The 18,908-nt window shown below is 33.7% G+C and overlaps 1 protein-coding gene across 8 annotated transcripts in view; it reads left to right on the top strand.

Moving 5' to 3' along the window:
* TMPRSS15 (transmembrane serine protease 15) overlaps positions 1 to 18,908 on the top strand; it is a 216,769-nt gene that overhangs the window by 67,594 nt on the left and 130,267 nt on the right. For 4 of the 8 annotated variants that reach the window (NM_001428057.1, NM_001428056.1, XM_047440913.1 and 1 more), the window contains exons 2-3: positions 12,085 to 12,225; positions 14,638 to 14,813. In NM_001428057.1, the coding sequence (NP_001414986.1) occupies positions 14,669 to 14,813 (145 nt within the window). In that variant the 5' untranslated portion in view covers positions 12,085 to 12,225; positions 14,638 to 14,668. Of the gene's footprint in view, positions 1 to 12,084; positions 12,226 to 14,505; positions 14,814 to 18,908 lie in introns of those variants that run through there. The other 4 variants (NM_002772.3, XM_011529658.3, XM_011529655.2 and 1 more) reach the window with 3 other exon arrangements.

Below are 18,908 nucleotides of genomic sequence, written 5' to 3'. Positions count from 1 at the left end.
TAAGGTTCTTAACTCTCTCACCTCTAATCCACAGAAGTAAGGTATCCCTTAGACACTGTATTTTGGGTATCGTCTTCCAGCTAGTAGCAAGCATTAAAGTATCTAATGGGTGAAATGAAACCATAGGAGAGAGCCTGTTTGGAAGAGACAGAGAAGTTTCATTTCTTTTGTTTTAATTGGACATGACAGAAAGAACAAATGAGCAATACATTTCATTACCTTTTAGCTGAAGAAAGAGACCAGGATCCAAGTGATTGCTTTTCTTAAATTGCTAGCCAAGCTCAACTTCTCCCAATAGCATAGCTTTTTACATTTTTTTGAACAAATTCCTTGTGAAACAGATATAGCATTTCTGGCAATTATATTCCAAGTAGGTGTATGTGTGTGAATATATGTATGTTTGTGCATGAATGTGTATGTGTGTATGTGTGTGATTGTGTGTATACGTGTTTATATGTGTGTAGGCTACCCTTTTGACTGACACATTGCTGCCTCTGATAACAGCATTCTCCTAATTATTTTCTTAATATGGATCGATTCACATTGAGCAAGATTAGCTCTTGGCAATCTATTTGGATCATTTCACTGAAGAGTTAATTTTATTTTCTAGATCAGAAACATCTAGCAGATACAGACTTCTGAGGGGTTTAGGCTCTATTTTTATCACACGGTTATTGAGAGCCTGAAGTTAATTAAATTGTGAGCACACCAAATCTTGTTCAGCATAGATACTAACTTATGTAGTAGGAGTCTTAAAATGTTTCAAAACGTATCTTCTTTTTTCTGTAGTATCTTGACATAGAAAATTGCATTAACTATTTTAATTGCATATTTTAATTAGATTACTGTGTTTTAGGACATATTCATGCCATCTTTGTTTATTCTTTATCTCCAGAAATCTCAGTCTGGCTGTAATTGCACCTGCTTGTTTGCTGTGGCAGAATGTTTTATATAAGAGAGGGAGACAATCATAGGATTATGTAAAGTTCTGGAATGGTTAATTGTTGCTTTCTTACCCTCACAGAGTAGAGACTTCTGATTCAACTTGTAAAAACATGGCTCTTTTTATGTGAGAAAAGGTAATAGACAATTTAAAATAGAAGTGCCAAATAAATAATGATTAGGTTATACATACTCCAAAATCTTGAAATTACCTTTCTAAGGCCTTTTATGTAAAAATTGGCTGAAATGTTACAATTGACATGATTTTTTTCTTATTATAGTTGGTTTGATATTCAAGCACAGTTAAAATTACTATCTTATACATAAAAATTAATTGTATTATTAGTCAAAATGTAAGTTGACGTGCTTAATTTACCACTATCTTTATGAAGACAGTTGACGTTGACTGCCATGGTGTATCTCAAAATCTGGTATGTATCAGCTTTACTTGAGAATCAATGATTTGTAATCTCGTTAATACAAAGTAAAGAGCATAGAAAATGTGTCATCAATAGATAAGTACATCTAAGGTGTTAGTAGGGCATGAAATGTATGTACTCTTGAATGAATGAGTTTATCATGTCCAATAGCAAAAGATAAAGAAAGTCAAAAGTCATCTAGATAATTTAAACTCATAAACAAGATAACTAAATTTAAAGTTCTTTACAATATGCTGCAAATAGTTTGTGAATTTATCAAAGAGTTTCACATTTTGGCTAAGTATTAGAATTTCAAAAATTAACCAGTATCATCCCCACTCTGTAATGATATGGATAAGGTACAAGGGGCCAATGTCTTCAAGAGAATATTACTAACCAAGGAGATGGAACACTGGGCTGTAAAAACAAATGCCTTATGATAATAGTAAGTCTACAAATTTCTACTGTTCAAAAGATATATAAGGATAATATGAATTTTGCTCTAGGATATTCTGAAAAAGTAAAGTTTAAAATGGAGTATAAAGTCAAGAAGTGTGATGTCTCCAGCTTTGCTCTTCTTTCTCAAGATCTCTTCGGCTACTCTGGGTCTTTTGTGGTTCCAAATGAAATTTAGGATTCTTTTCTCTATTTCTGTAAAAAACACCATTAGGATTTTGATGAATATAGCATTTCACCTGTAGATCAATTTGGCTAATATTTATATTTCAACAATATTAAGTCGTCCAATCCATAGAAAGCCATGTTTTTTTTCATTTATCTGTGTCTCCTTTAATTTCCGTCATCAATGTTTTGCAGTTTTCATTGTATAAGTATTTCACCCCCACGCTTATTTCTAAATATTGTATGATTTTTATGCTATTGTAAATGGAATTGTTTTTTAGCTTATTTTTAGAATGGTTCCTTGTTAATGTTTTGAAATACAACTGATTTTTTGTACGTTGATTTTGTATCCTGCATATTTACTCAATTTGTTTATTAGTTCTAACATTTTGTGTAGGTGGAGTTTTAGGGTTCTCTACACACAAGATGATGTCATCTACAAACAGAGAACATTTTATTCTGTTCCTTTACAATTTTGATTCCTTCTATTTCTTTCTCTTACCTAATGGTTCTGGCTAAGACTTCCAGGACTTTACAGAATAGAAGTGGTAGAAACCATAGTAATTAAAACAGTATGGTACTAGCATAAAGACAGATATATTAAGTGGACCAAAATAAAGAGACCAGATGTAAACTCATACATATATGGTCAACCCATCTTTAGCAACAGTGCTAAGGATACACAATGGGTAAGGAAGTATAATTTCTTCAAAAAGTAGAACTGGGAAAACTAGACACTACCTTCAAAAAAACAAAAATAGATCTCTGCCTAACACCACTCACAAAAATCAAACAAAAATGGACTAAAGACTTAAACATAAGATCTGAACTGTCAAACTTCTAGAAGAAAACATAGGGGAATACCTTCTTGGCATTGGTCTTGGCAAAGATTTCTTGACTATGGCACTAAAATCATAGAACATAAAAGCAAAACTAGAGAAGTGGGACTATGTCAAACTAAAAAGCTCCTGTGCAGGAAAGGAAGCAACAGATTGAAAGGCAACCTATAGAATAGGAGAAAACATTTGCAAAACGAACATCTGATAAGGGATACATTTCAAAACTATATAAGGAACTCACAAATCAATAGCAAAAAGACAAGTAACCTGAATTTAAAAATGGGCATGCACCCTGATAGACATTTCTCCAAAGAAGACACAGAAATGGCCAGCAGGTGTGTAAAAAAGTGCTCAAAATGTCTAATCATCAGGGAAATACAAATCGAAACTACAATGAATGATATTACCTCACACCTTTAGGGTGTCTACTGTCAAAAAAAAACAGATAAGGGCTAGCAAGAAGGTAGAAAAATTGAAACACTTATACAGTGTTTGTAGGAATGTAACATGATGCAACAGCTATGGAAAACAGTACGGAGGTCCTTAAAAATTTTTAAATAGAGCTACCATATGATCTAGAAATCCCACTTCTGGGTATATATCCCAAGAAATTGAAATCAGGGTCACAAAGAGATATCTGCATCTCTGTCCCACGTTTATTACAACATTATTCACGGTAGCCAAGATATGGAAACAACTTAAGTGTCCTTTGACAGATAAATGGATAAAGAAGCATGTGATATATGCATAAAATGGATTATTATTCAGCCTTAAAAGGGAAGGAAATTCTGCTTTTTGCAACAACGTGGATGAACCTGGAAGGCATTATGCTAAGTGAAATAAGCCACTCACACAGGAAAAAATAATTCATGATTCTAATTATATGAGGTATCTACAATAGTCAAACTCATAGAAGCAGACAATACAATAATGATTGCCAAGGGCTGCAGAGTTGGGCAAATGAAGAATTCGATATGTATAAAATTGTAATTATGCAAGATAAACTGGTTATAGAAATTTGCTGTATAACATAGTGCCTAGAGTTAACAATATGATATTGTGCATTTCAAAATTTGGTAAGAAAGAGTTGAAAGCTCACGTTATGTTCAAAAATCACACACTCACACACACACAAGAAGTAAAGGGACACAAAGAAAATGGGAGCTGTTAGGACATGTCTATTCCTTGATTATGGTGATGATTTTACATTGTTGGCATTTGTCTGAACTCATCAAATTGTATACATTAAATATGTGCAGTGGTGTGTATCTTAAAAAAAACTGTTAAAAATGGAGTATAAACACCTTAAATTGTAAGAATTTTAAAAAATTAAAGGAAATAAAAAGGAGAAATAATATCTTAACATTCTAATGACAGTCTATTAAGTTTCTATGCATTCCTTAAGTCTATAATATTTCTATGCTGAAATAGTTACTGGAAGAAAAAGCATGTCATTAAAATATTATAGCTAAATAATTACTACTATCACATAAACAAGTAAGCACTTTGTAAACAAATTATTTTAATTATTTTTTTAAGTGCATTATGAGCCTGTCTCTACAAAAAATAAAAAAGGTGGCCAGGACTGGTGGCATGCGCCTGTGGTCCCAACTACTCAGGAGGCTGAGGTGGGAGGATCGCTTGGGCCCAGTAATTTGAGGCTGCAGTGAGCTATGATCATACCACTGCACTCCAGTCTGGGCGACAGAGCAAGACCCTGTCCTAAAGCAAGAAATAAAGAGTTCAGGACGCGGTGGCTCACGCCTGTAATCTCAGCACTTTGGGAGGCCAAAGCAGCTGGATCAAGAGGTCAGGAGTTCAAGACCAGCCTGGCCAGGATGGTGAAACTCCGTCTCTATTAAAAATAGAAAAAAAAAAAAAAAAAGTTAGCCAGGTGTGGTGGCGGGCGCCTGTAATCCCAGCTACTCGGGAGGCTGAGGCAGAGAATTGCTTGAACCTGGAAGGTGGAGGTAGCAGTGACCCGAGACCAAGCCACTGCACTCCAGCCTGGGTGACAGAGTGAGACTCTGTCTCAAAAAAAATTAGACACATAATGCATCTGAAAGAAAGAAAGAAGAAAGATAGAAAGAAAGGAAGGAAGGAAGGAAAGGAAGGAAGGAAGGAAGGAAGGAAGGAAGGAAGGAAGGAAGGAAGGAAAAGAAAGAAAAGAAAGAAAAGAAAGAAAGAAAAAGAAAAAGAAAGAGAAAGAAAGAAAGGAAGGAAGAAAGAGAGAGAAAAGGAAGGAAGGAAGAGGAAGGGAGGGAGGGAGGGAAGGCAGGAAGGGGAAAATGCATTATGAATTACACTTAAATTTCTAATTCAAACTCATAGTTACAATTTTATTGAAAAAGCAACCTACACATGACCACATCTAAACTGAAGAAAGATTGAAAACTAGGGCAGGTAGCTTGTGGTGCACAGGTAAAATTCAGTTAGTTTCGTCTCTAAAAGGCGAAAGGGAAGAATGAATACAGATAGAGAATGATCACCACCACAATTATATTTATTTAAAATTTATCTTATTTTTACACAACGTTTCCAAGGATCTAATGTAAGGAATTTAACTGAACATGTTATTATGCCGTTTAATTCCCTACACCTAACCAATTTTACCAGGGTCATGCTTCTGTCATTGACTTCCCTGTCGTAAAAAAATGACTTAATAATGCAGCCTTCCTGGTTTTTGTGAGTTATTTTATTTTTAATGTTAATGGACCCAACTCAGCAGCAGCAGCAGCAGCAGCAGGGTTACTAGACACATTAATCAAACACATAATTCTAGGTACAGTACAAATTATTTAAGCAAAATCACACTACATACCTGGCCACTTTGTTCTCGAAACTGACATCGTTAAAAATAAAACAGCAGCAAAGAAGCTATGTATTTACCTAGTACGAAATATTACCCAATGAATTTATTTGGATAGTGGCTAAAAAGACATAGTCAGAAACATGAAATGCAAATTTTTACTTGGGAATTTAGAGGTCCAAACCATGTCAGGAACTTTTAGTTCTTTAATTCGGTGATCTCCTAATTGGATTTTATTTTTATTCTTTCGCTTAGAAAAGAAAACAGAACAAGCTTCCTGGAATTGTGTTAAGACAGAACTTAGCAAGCGGATGTGGAAAACTGATTCTGTGGACAAAGTAAATGTTGGTATAACACTTTGGTGATGATAGCAGGGAAATTAGATAAAAGAGCATTGAGAAAATCTGACAAGTAGGCTCACTCTCTTTCAATATCAAATAATCTTTTGACCTCTGGGCACTGGGATTATTAAAGTTAAAAAGTAACATGGTGAGAAGATAAATCTTGCCTGAGCTACAGATGTGGCTGGCACAACAATCTGAAATCATAGAATTGTGAATTGGTTAGGATTCTGGATACACAGGGGATTTCTTTGAAAATGATCTAAACTAGCAGCTGATTGGGAAGAACATGCTGATATTTTTTTCAAAGCTTCCTACTAACCAAGTAGGATGCTGTAAAAAGTGTGGTAACCCCTACGAGGAAAAAGCAATCTTTCCCAGCCTGGTTCGTGTTTCTTCCCCGAAATACAGGTCTATTTTTGAATACTGCCATGAATAGAGTTCTTCCCTTCAGAAGAGTTAAGTGCTATGCGGTTCAGCATGTTCTGGTATAATGCCTTTCATTCAAAAGTTTCATAATCCACTTTACAGACAAAAGTAGATTAGGGAAATATGCTTGGTGAGAGTGACTTTCATATGGCAAGGTAAAAAACCACATGTGGAGTGGGAACAAAGGATGAAGGGCGAGGAAGCAAGAATTTGCATTAGCAAAGGGAAAGTAAATATGGTTTCACTGTAGTCAGACAAGAGGAGGATAAAAAGGAATTGCAAAGAGAATGAAAGGTCAGTGGGAGATATGAAGGAGAAGATCTTCAGAAAATGTTTTAAAAGATAGTCTCACATAGGTGATTTTTAGGTGAATATCTGAAACAAATCTCAGGGAAAAAAAGACTTTTTAATGTAAAGAGACATAAATCATATACTTTCCTTTGGAAGGAACCATAAAAATCATGAAGTCATAAAATTGTAGAAAGGAAAGTGATTTTAAGATCAATAACTTTGTTCTCTAAAGTAGAAAACTGAAGCTCAAAAAAAAAAAAGTTTTAACAAAATGCCTAAGAATACCTAGTAAGTGTCAATCCTTATATATACAGCTGGGTCTTCTGTCAACATGTCTAGTGATATTTTTCACAACACACCATCCTTTTGAATGGCAAATACACTTTTTAGTAATTAAAATATTTCAAAAAGAATATTCTAGCATGTATCATACTTAAGGACTTCCTTTATGATTAACCTAGAAGTAGCAGAGGAATGTAACTGCTGTTTAATGGGATTGTAAACAATGCAAGAGATTATTATTAATTTAAAGCATTTTTAGTTTGTGAATTTTCAGTTTTCTTGTATCCTTCTGTAAAGTAGTAATCAGCTAAATACTAGATTTGGTAGTATTTTTAATAGTGTAGATAAAATAACTAATGATATTGTCCATGCATACAATCTTAGAGCCAGTGAGGTTTTATAACATCTATATTAATATTTAGGTATTATTCTGGCTGAATAAAGTTGATATATCCTTAAGTTGAATAAAATTGGCATAGTCTTTAGTTCTTTAGGTCAGAAGTTACATGGACTTTTGAATAAAATTTGAGTGGAGCTGAAGCTTAAAACCTCCTTCTCCAGAATATAATTCGATTTTATAAACTGGTTTCAAACCAGTCAAAAAATCACAAAAACTCATCAACAGGAAAACAAAAAACAAATAGAAAAATAAAGTTGAGGCATACACTCCATCCAATAACAAAAATAGTAGGGAATTCAACATGGCTCTTTTTTTTTTTCTATTATTCATCTACAAACTCTCCCCTCCCCATCATTTTGCTGAAAAGAAACTCAAAAAAGTTCTAATTTTCATTAATATTTTGCAGTCTGTAGAAAAACAGGTGACTGGTAAGCAGGCAACCTGAAATAAAGATAGGGAAAATATCTGAGGACTAGCAAACCCTAGGGATCAGTGACTGCTACAGGATCCCAGTGGAGATGGGAGGAGCCATTAGGAGTTTGTCAATTCTTAATGCTACTCATTAAATTGTAGAGAATAGTATGTAGCACAGTGGCATCCCAGTGGCATCCCACACACATTCACAGATAGAATAAACCTCACATTAGTACAAAGGAACCTTTGTACAGGATTTTTAACAAAATTGCAGAAAAGAGAAGGAAATATGGGCCATCAAAAGAAGGCTGTATACAGCCTCATGTGAATTTATACTCCTGCCTCAAAACCTTTCTCTAACCACTTAAATTGCAAAAAAAAAAAAAATGCATATCCAGGTTAATTTCTTCAAAACTGTAGCTCATAAAAATGTAAGGACATTAACCTACTCTATGGGAAAACAATGAAAAATAACACAGGTAGGACTACGACAAGCATGAACCAGATGGAAAGAAACAGTGTGGAAGACATGTGAATATACCTAAGAAGGAAAGACGGAAGGAAGGAAGAAAGGAAGGAAGGAAGGGAGGGAGGGAGGGAAGAAGGAAGGAAGGGAGGGAGGGAGGGAAGGGAGGGAGGGAGGGAAGGAAGGAAGGGGGAAAGGAGGGAGGGGTGAAGGGGGGAAGGGGGGGAGATTGTATAGAAAATATTTCCAAAAACTGATTTTGGAAGCAAACTCAATCAAAGAAAAATTTTCAACAGTACTATTTATTACTTTTAAAACTTAATAAATGAGTTGAAGACAATAAGAACCCAGTAACAAAATCCAGAATTTGAATAAAATAGAAAGATTATAATTATGAAAATCAATTACAACAAAGCAACAGCATTACACAAATTTGTAAATTAGGGATGGCAGAGAACAGAAATACACAGTTGAACATTGCATATAATTGAAATGTATGAGAGAGATACAGATATAATGAAATAATTACAAGAAAAGTAGAGATATAGATAAATGACTAAGATAATTCATCCTAAGGAAAATTGGACCCTAACCCCATTATGAATTCTAGTAAATTGAACAACAAAAACACAAAAAAAGATTTGAAGCTTTAATAAAGGATTTTTTTCCTGAGATAAAAGGGAAACTGAAAAAGGTACATCACATTCTAAGAAAGATTAATTCAGAATAATCAATGCCAATTTACTCTCTTTTGAACTTCAAGTATGAAAACATAATTCTGTAAGCATTCAGGCAGATATAAAACATGTCACATACAAAAGTAAGAAAAAGGGTTAGCATCATACATTGGCACAATTATGTTCAGTGGCAGAAAAAAAAACACACTATTAAAAAAATCTTCAGAATTCCAAGGAAAAAAAACTTGTCACTTACCCATGCATCAATATATTATCAGTCAAGTATAAAAGAAAGAGGAAGATTTCTCACATATGAATGAACTCATGGAATATGGAATCCAGCAGCTCTTCTAAACACACTTCTTTTTTTAAAACAAGCTGACTGATGATGATACATACTCAATTAAAATTGAATTGATCGTTACAACTATAACTCTTTTATTTTATAACAATAAAGGAGGACTAGTTCAATATTCAGTACCAGAGAATAGCACCAAATTTTTATATCCAGCCAAATTTTTCAAGGATCAAAAAAATAAACAAAAATATCCAGTAAGCAAATCTCTTAGATTGCAGTACTTAAGAATCCTCAATGATAAAGACATTTAATAATATTTAAAGGTCCACCTTCTCCTTTGTGCCTAGTTAAGATGTTTATTAAATAGTCCTCAGACTGTGTGTGAATAAAGATGACCACCCCTTTAAAAACCTAAAATACAAAGAATTTGCCAATTAGATCTCAGAATAACATGTTAAAATTATATAGAAAGTCAAAGAAATAATTACCAGTCTTGGAGAAAAGCAAATGTGTATTTCTTAAGCTCATATCAACTTGGAACCATCAATCCTAGGAGTGTTCATTGACTATGGCACTGGTATTTTTGGAGAAAAAAGAAGTCTCTGAAATGTCCAGAAGTATTTTTGACGAAGAATACATATTTTCTTATTTTATATTAGTTTCTAAAAATGTAACTGTATTAGAGATATTTATCTGATTACAACCCAGCCACACAAAATTATTTAAAGGTGAAAGCTGTTTGGGTTTTCTCATCTTGTGTTGAACAGTGAATGAAATTTCACAGAAGTGTTCATGGCTTTAATCTTTAGGAACTCTGCAATTTCTACTGCTACTTCATACAGTCAGAGTATAAAACCACTTATTTGTGAACAAATGAACACTATATGTTGTGCACATGGTCTGTTTGCTTCTATAACATTATCAAGAGCTTATCAGACTCTTAATTTTCTTCTCTGTTCTATTCTTACCCTTTTATTTGCCCTAGGCAAAAATAATTATAATCCACCTTTAGGAGTCTCAAAAACTAAAGCATTGGCTACACCCACTCCATACCCAACTATCCTCAAGTCTCTTTCTACTTCATTATTCACCTAACCAGAATATGTCATTCCTATTACCAAAATGGTACACAACAATTTACTCACTGAAATTTTCTTTAAGTTAGTGATCTTCCCTATCTAGAGCTGTATATTCTCTTTATTTGCCATCCCAAATATGTATTCATTTGTTTCCACTTCACATAAAGCGTTTTATCTTATACGGTTAAATGTCTCAAGTATATGTTTAAAATAATTATCTTATTCTCCTATGGGCATTCAGTGACTTGGCTAATGGGGACATTTTTGTAACTTCTACACTTTTCACAATAGAAAAGCTCCTTCAAGTCCAGCCTGGACAACGAAGTGAGACCTCATTTCTACAAAAAGAAAAAAGCGGGGGAAGAGAAAATTATCTGGGCATGATGGCACACACCTTTAGCCCCATATACTCAGGAGGCTGAGGTGGGAGGATTGCTTGAGCCCAGGAAGCAGAGTTAGTAGTAAACCAAGATCATGTCACTGCACTCCACCCTGGGTGACAGAATGAGACTGTCTCAAAAAAAAAAAAAAAAAAGAAAAGAAAAAAAGAAAAAGAAAGTTTAGCACATAAAGTTTCTTTCAATTTTAATAATTATTTGGTAAGATGAAAATTATTAATAATACCACAGAGACTTCAATCTTATGTCTCCCCTTTAACTTTTGATCTATTTTTTTAAAAATGCAGAATATTAACTCACATGTCCTACTCCTCTAACTGTGTCAAAGTTTATGTGGTTCATTAATGTATTTCAAATATTTTAACAGAAGTAATGCAATACAAATACACCTTGTTGTTCTATTTCTATATTAACCAACCCCTTTTCTGCTCAGAAGTAACCATCATACGGATTTTCTATTTATCGTTTCCGGGTACACTCTTATCCACAGAATTGCATCACTAAACAAATGATTTTCTTTTCTACTTTAGGCTGTGCAACATCACATATAACCCTCTAAACTTGTTTCTTTGCATATAATTTTGTTTTATTATTTCTAGTTTAGTACATACAACTTTAGTTCATGTACTTTAAACTTGTGTATAACATTTTATTCTATAAACATAATACACTTCACTTTTTCATTTTCCTATTGATGAACACTTAAGTTTTCCCTATATTTTGTAGGGCTTACAATTTTATTATAATTGTATTATAATGAATGTTATCTCATTGTCTACTTGTCCCAGATTTAACTGGAAAGAGAATTTGGAGGTCAGATTGTATGTGTGCATTTAGTTTTTCTAGATATTAACCAAATTGCTATTCAACTTGATTATTTGAATCTTCACTCAGACAAGCGATGAATGACACTACTAAGTATTGCTAAGGCTTTTAATTTTTGCTTATATGTCTAAGGTCAGTTTTTTATTTTTATTAGAATTCCATAACTACTACTAACATTGACCACCTATAGACATTTGTGTGCTCCTGTTTTCTTTCTTTTTTGTTTGGTTTTGCCCTTTTTGTCAATTGCCTGCTACTTGTCTTTTATCTGTTAGTCAATAGAAAATCTCTTTAATCTCTGAAGAGTGTTTTTTATTTGTAAGCCATAGCAGCTATTGTAAGGATTCTATACTCACAGGCCCTCTCATTCATCTCTGCACACTGAAGTCAGCTTCCCTGGATGTTCTACTCACACAGAGTAACTCGAAGTGCCAGACTTGACGTCCCAGAAGCTAACCTCAACCAATGAGCATGGCTTTTTGGCAAATGAATATTCCACTCTATTTCCCCCTAAGTGGGATAGCTCTGACACGCGTTCCCACTGTCTCACGCAGGTCCCAAGCAGACTTATGTTCCAGATGCCTATGATGGTAACTGGCTTGATCACACCCAGTCTTCACTGGCTTTATCACCCTCCATCTCTTCACTTCCCAGCCCTTCTCATGGAGGTTTTCTGGACTGCCTTTAAAATAAATGTAAGTACCTCATACCAAAATTTTTGCCTCAGTTCAATTCTGTCATAGCTGAATGAAAACATATGCAGTTTGAAAAAAATTATAAAGAAAAAAACACAAGTCTGTGGCTTAGGGTTTTATTTTTTAGATACACTTTGTTTTAAAAAAAGAAAAGTCAGTGTTACTATTGGCTAAATTTATCAATGTTCTTCATGATTTTTCCTTTTATTTTTGAATCCTTTTCTAAAAATTCCTTCAATACCTTATCATTAGAAAGACATTCTTCTATATTTTCTTCTAAAATTTTTCCGTGCTTTTTATATATGCTTAATCCACCTGGAATTTATGTCTCTTCACGGTGTGAGATGAAGATCTGAAGTTCTTCATGTGAAGATGGAGAACAAATCAATGCGGCGCTATGTATTGAAGAGCCACTCTTTTCTAACCTATTATTAATGCCCTACGTTTTTCATATATGAAGTTTCCATATGCAAATCACACTTATGGGCACTTAATTCCGCTGAGACAGTTTTCTTTGCTGGGACTGATACAACACTCTCTTTATATCACAGCTTTGTAACGAGTTTTGTTACCTGATAGGGCAAGTCCTGTTTTATTTTAATAACTTTTCAAAAAATTTCAAGATATGTGATTTGATTTTTCACATTCATCTGTTTGTTTAATTTCAGTCTGTCCTCCATAAATTATTGCCTTCTTTAAAAAAGCTATTCTTTCACTCATTTGCTTGATACTAAATATAATTATTTAAAACATTATTTGAGGAGAATTTGTGATCGAAAGTGAAAGTTTTGTTTCTGAAACTAAATGCATTATTTTGGGCTTTCAATCTAATATTTTATCCATTAATCCATGCTATGCTTGAAGCAGACATGTGAACTCACTGTCTTCTGCTTTCCTTCTATAAAGTCAAAAGAAATGTAACTTAAAGCGCTATATGATATTCTAAAAAGGGTTTGCTTCTGCACTAGCCATACAAAGAAAACAGTCATTGTGCTTTCACTTTGGCTTTCCAAATTCAAGAGGCGCTTTTTGTAGGTTCCAATTTTATCAGAGGGTCTGGCCTATTGTAATTGTCCCCTAGAATATAAATAAAATAAACTTCTCCCAAGTCCATAAGTGGTGTCTCTGATTTCATATATATATTTCATATATATATTTAAGTCAATTAGCTAAAAATATAAATATTTTCAATGAAATACATTTGTTTACTCATAATTCTATTTTTATCAGCAAAAATTCTTGAGTTTGGGGGCAACAGGCAATTCTCTTCTTTCATGGGTAAAGAAGAAGAAAAGCAGCTACTGTTCATCTTAGCCCATTATAATATGCCACAATTTCAGTGTGTTAGGGGTTTCCAATCTAAAACTTTCTTACCTCCTGCCAGTTTTATTTACCAGAATAAAAGTCACATTGGTTTACTTCAGAATAGATTCGGTTTTATTTAGTTTTAATTTTTGTGTTTTAAAGTTCCTGAACTCATCATTATTCATGGTGTGAATAATCCCAATGCTAAACCGTAATTTAATTATCAGAAAATGACTTTGATTTTTCCATAAAGCATATATCTACAACTATAACTATGATTATCTTAACCTGTTCTCTTGTTCTAATTGGCATATTTAAAGAGATAAAGTCCAGGGCAAGTGAGCAATGTCTTCCCCACCCAGACTATTTTCTTAGAATAGAAACACATATTTTATTCCTCTTATGACAGGTACTACCATTCATTAATAACTGCACAAGGCCATAAAGAGTAGCCATAGAACGCCTTGTTTAAGTGTACTTTCCCTTATGTAATACTGCCTTACATTGCATAACTTCACCTGGGTGACATAACAAAGTTTGCAACACTTTTGATTGTTTCCATAAGGAATACATGTATATGTATATGTACACAGAGAGAGTATATATATGTTAGGCTTTATATACATCTGCACCTAAAAGTTATTTTTAGAAGGTCTATATCAACATATAAGAGAAGTGTCTTAAGAATCATCTGAGTCAGAGGGTAGAAGGTTGATCTGTTAGGAACTCTCTCTATGAATATCAGATGCATGTGCCTAGTGACTAATTTGTCTGTCATGAATTTCACATTTTTCTTAATAGTTCTCAAAATGATAAAATGTCTTTTGTTTACAACATGAATTTAATTTGATTCACCTTGGCAAATGGCCTGTTCAGGTAGTTAACATTTACAACTCTAGGCATCTTTACTCATTTATATCTTCTTAAAGATTAACTACCCTTTTAATGATACTTAATGTATAGAGACATAATTTTGCCAAAGAGACATACACAACTCACTTACACTGACTGGTATGCATGTAGACAGGTGGTTGTTGCTTTACACATCTTTAAAAATTTGAGAGATTTTTCTCTTCAGTTGGTAGAATTATTTATATTCTCTTTCAGTTCTTAAATTAGCAAGCCTTCAAAACCAAAAATGGGGTCGAAAAGAGGCATATCTTCTAGGCATCATTCTCTCAGCTCCTATGAAATCATGTTTGCAGCTCTCTTTGCCATATTGGTAGTGCTCTGTGCTGGATTAATTGCAGTATCCTGCCTGACAATCAAGGAATCCCAACGAGGTAAGTCACATGGAGTTGGCTCGTGAAGGTGCTCTCAGCTGAATGTACACACTTTAGTGTCAGTTATTCTGTAAGTCTATTTTATTCATTGCCAACTAAATGCATTATTTTGGGCTTTCAATCTAATATTTCAAATTAATCTTCATGACAAAATATTTATGTTGCCTTCATGTACTTCTCTGTAGTTCCCTTCAGAGAATATTAGGAAAATTAATTGGTATGTAATTTGAAACTTAATGCAGAATTTAAGCATGAGACTGAGTAGTTTTTAAAATAAATAATGTTAAATAAGTATCTTGGTTTCAACATATAATCAAGTAGATTTCATGGCCCCTGATTTTGTTTTGATATAATTTAAATCACAAACATATTAACATGTTGTTGAATATGTAAGTAGATAAACATGCAAAGTTAACAGAAAATATTGTTTATTTCTATCTTCATTCTCTTATCAGTCTAACCATTTTAATTCTACTAATATAAAATAACTTGGATATAAATGTAGACTTAAAAAGGTCACAAACTGAGTAGCAACTCCGATAAACAGAAAAAGCATAAGAAATGATAACTCTTAGTTAGAGCTAACTTTGTACCAACAGCTTTTAAAATACCTTCAAATGTATTGTGTAGCTACAACATATGAAAGCTTATTGGTATGCTCGTTTTACAGATGAGGGATCTGAGACAGAGACTAGAAGTAACTTGCTTAAGTTCACATTATTAGTGGGTAGCAGAAGTAAGATTCCAAACTAGACAATCCCGCTCTGGAACTTATAGTCCATCTTACCACTTATTCATTTATAGGGTAAATTTAAAAAATTGAAAGCATAGCAATAACCTACGTATTAACAGTTTATTTTCTCTTAAAAACAATTTTTTACATTTTTAAAATGATGAACTTTATATATATATATGTGCATATAAATTCTCTCTTTTTTTTTTTTTTTTTTGAGATAGAGTCTCGCTCTGTCGCCAGGCTGGAGTGCAGTGGCACGATCTCGGCTCACTGCAACCTCCACCTCCTGGGTTCAAGTGATTCTCCTGCCTCAGCCTTGCTAGTAGCTGGGACTACAGGTGCGCGCCATCACGCCCAGCTAATTTTTGTATTTTTAGTAGCGGTGGGGTTTCACCATGTTGGCCAGGATGGTCTCAGTCTCTTGACCTCGTATCTGCCCACCTCGGCCTCCCCAAATGCTGGGATTACAGGCATGAGCCACCGTATCTTTCCATTGTGAGTGATTTTAGTTTTACCTATTAAATTCACAATTGTTGGGTTAGCTATTTTATTCTAGTAAATAAGTAAGTTTAAATTAGAATGTAATGCACATGCCATAGTTTTATTAAATAATTTTAGTATAATTCCTGGTCTATTTAAAAACTATAGACATACACACGGGCTATATTTTAAAGGGAAAGAAAGTGTGGATATTTTATAAAATTATACAAAGTACTAAAATACAATACAGATTGAATTAAACTTTTAGAAAAATGGCTGTTTTGGTCTTATTTAATTGCTGTGAATAACTTGAAGGATCTATAAGCATTTGAAAGTCCATTGGAATCCCTGTTGTTCAATAAACATACAAAGGTTAGTTATTTTACAAGTGAAAGAGAAAATAAATATTTATAAGTGATAATACTGTTTAACAGTGAACAGCTAAATATAAAAAGGGATTCGAGTTAATGCTTTACCAATACATCAGAGATCATAATGCATACTGCTATTTTTTTCTTTTTAAACTATTATTTTAGATTCAGGGGGCACATGTGCAGGCTTGTTACCTGGGTATATTGCATATATTGAGGTTTGGGGTATGAATGATCCCATCACCCAGGTACTGAGCATAGTACCCAGAAGTTAGTTTGTCAACCCTTGCCCCTCTCCCACTTTCCCCTTCTGGTAGTCCCCAGTGTCTATTGTTGCCATCTTTATGTCCACGAGTGCCTGCTGTTTAGCTCCCACTTATGCTTGAGAACATGTGGTATTTGTTTTTTCTGTTCCTGCATTAATTTGCTTAGTATAATGGCCTCTAGCTGCATCCATGTTGCTGCAAAGGACATGAGTTCATTCTTTTTTATGGCTGCATCTTATTCCACAATGCATATGTACCACATTTTCTTTATCCAGTACACCGTTGATGGGCACCTAGGTTGAGTCCATAACTTTGCTATTGTAAACTGTGCTGTGATGAACATGTGAGTGCGTGTGTCTGTTTGGTAGAATGACTTATTTTCTTTTTGATATATACCCAGTAATGGGATTGCTGGGTCAAATGGTATTTCTGTTTTAGGTTCTTTGAGAAATAGCCAAACTGCTTTGCACAGTGGCTGAACTAATTTACATTTCTATCAACGGTGTATAAGTATTCCTGTTTCTCTGCAGCCTTGTCAACATCTGTTGTTTTTCGATTCTTTGGTAATAGCCATTCCGACCAGCATGAGATGGTATCTCATTGTGGTTTTGATTTACATTTCTCTGGTGATTAGTGGTGATGAGTATTTTTTAAAATATTTGTTAGCCACTTGTATGTCTTTTTTTGACAAGTGCTTGTTCATGTTTTTTGCCCAGTTTTTAATGGGTTTATTTGTTTTTTGTTTGTGCAATTATTTAAGATCCTTATAGATTCGGGATATTAGACCTTGTCAGATGCATCGTTTGCAAGTATTTCCTCCCATTCCATAGGTTGTATGTTGACTTTCTTGATAGTTTATTTTGCAGTGCAGAAGATCTTTAGTTTAATTAGGCCCCACTTGCCAATTTTTGGTTTCGTTGCAACTGCTTTTGAGGATTTAGTCCTAAATTCTCTGCCAAGCATAATTTCCAGAATGATGTTTTCCTTTTTTCCTCTAGGATTGTTATAGTTTGAGGTCTTAATTTAAATCTTTAATTTATCTTGCGTTAATTTTTGTATATGGTGAAAGGTAGGGATCCAGTTTCATTCTTCTGCATATGGCTAGCCAGATATACCAGCACTGTTTATTAACTAGCAAGTCCTTTCCTCATTGTTTATTTTCTGTCAACTTTGTTAAAGATTAGATGGCTGTAGATGTGTAGCTTTACTTTACTGTGGGTTCTCTATTCTGTTTCATTGGACTATGTATCTGTATTTGTACTACTACCATGCTGTTTTAGTTACTATAGCTTTATAGTATAGCATGAAGTTGCGTAATGTGATGCCTCTGACTTTGTTCTTTTAGCTTAGGATTGCTTTGACTATTCTGGCTCTTTCCTAGTTCCATATGAATTTTTGAATCATTTTTTATGATTTTATGAAAAATGAGTTTGATAGTTTAATAGGAATAGCATTGAATCTGTAGGTTGCTTTGGGCAGTATGGTCATTTTAACAACATTGATTCTTCCAATCCATTAGCATGGAATTATTTCCATTTGTTTGTGTTATCTGATTTTTATAGCAGTGTTTTGTAGTTATCCTTGTAGGTCTCTTTTATATCCTTGGTGAGAGATATTCCTAAGTATTTTATCTTTTGTATGGCTATTGACAATGGGATTAAATTCTTGATTTGGCTCTCAGCTTGAATGTATTTAGCGTATAGAAATGCAACTGACATTGTACATTTATTTTGTATCCTGAAACTTTGCTGAAGTCATTTATCAGTTTCAGGAGCCTTTTTGCAGAGTCTTTAGGGCTTTCAAAGCACATACTACTTTTAACATTTTTTATACTTTTTTTGACTTCACTTTAGACTTATTAAAAGTTGCAAAAATTGTACAGAGTTCTCATATAACCCAGCTTCCTTGGATGTTAATATTTCGTTTATCCACAGTACAATTGTCACAATCAAAAAATTAACATTTCTACAGTATTGTTAACTGAACCACATACTTTATTCAAATTTCACCAGTTTTTCCACTAATGCCCTTTACCAGCTTAAGATCCAATGCAGATTCCTATATAAGATTTAGTTATTACGCTTCCTTAGTCTCCTTTAATCTGTTGTAGTTCCTCAGTCCTTCTTTGTATTCTACATTTAAACATGCAAACTTCAATGTAATTTTGAGTATTTAAAATACAAATGAAATAGTATAAATAATATGTTACATCAATTATGCAATTAAAGCTATTTAGACTATA

This window comes from Homo sapiens, chromosome 21 (assembly GCF_000001405.40).
Source record: "Homo sapiens chromosome 21, GRCh38.p14 Primary Assembly".
NCBI lineage: Eukaryota > Metazoa > Chordata > Mammalia > Primates > Hominidae > Homo > Homo sapiens.
Note: the sequence above shows the minus strand (reverse complement) of the source record. Positions and strands in the feature narration are given on the sequence as shown.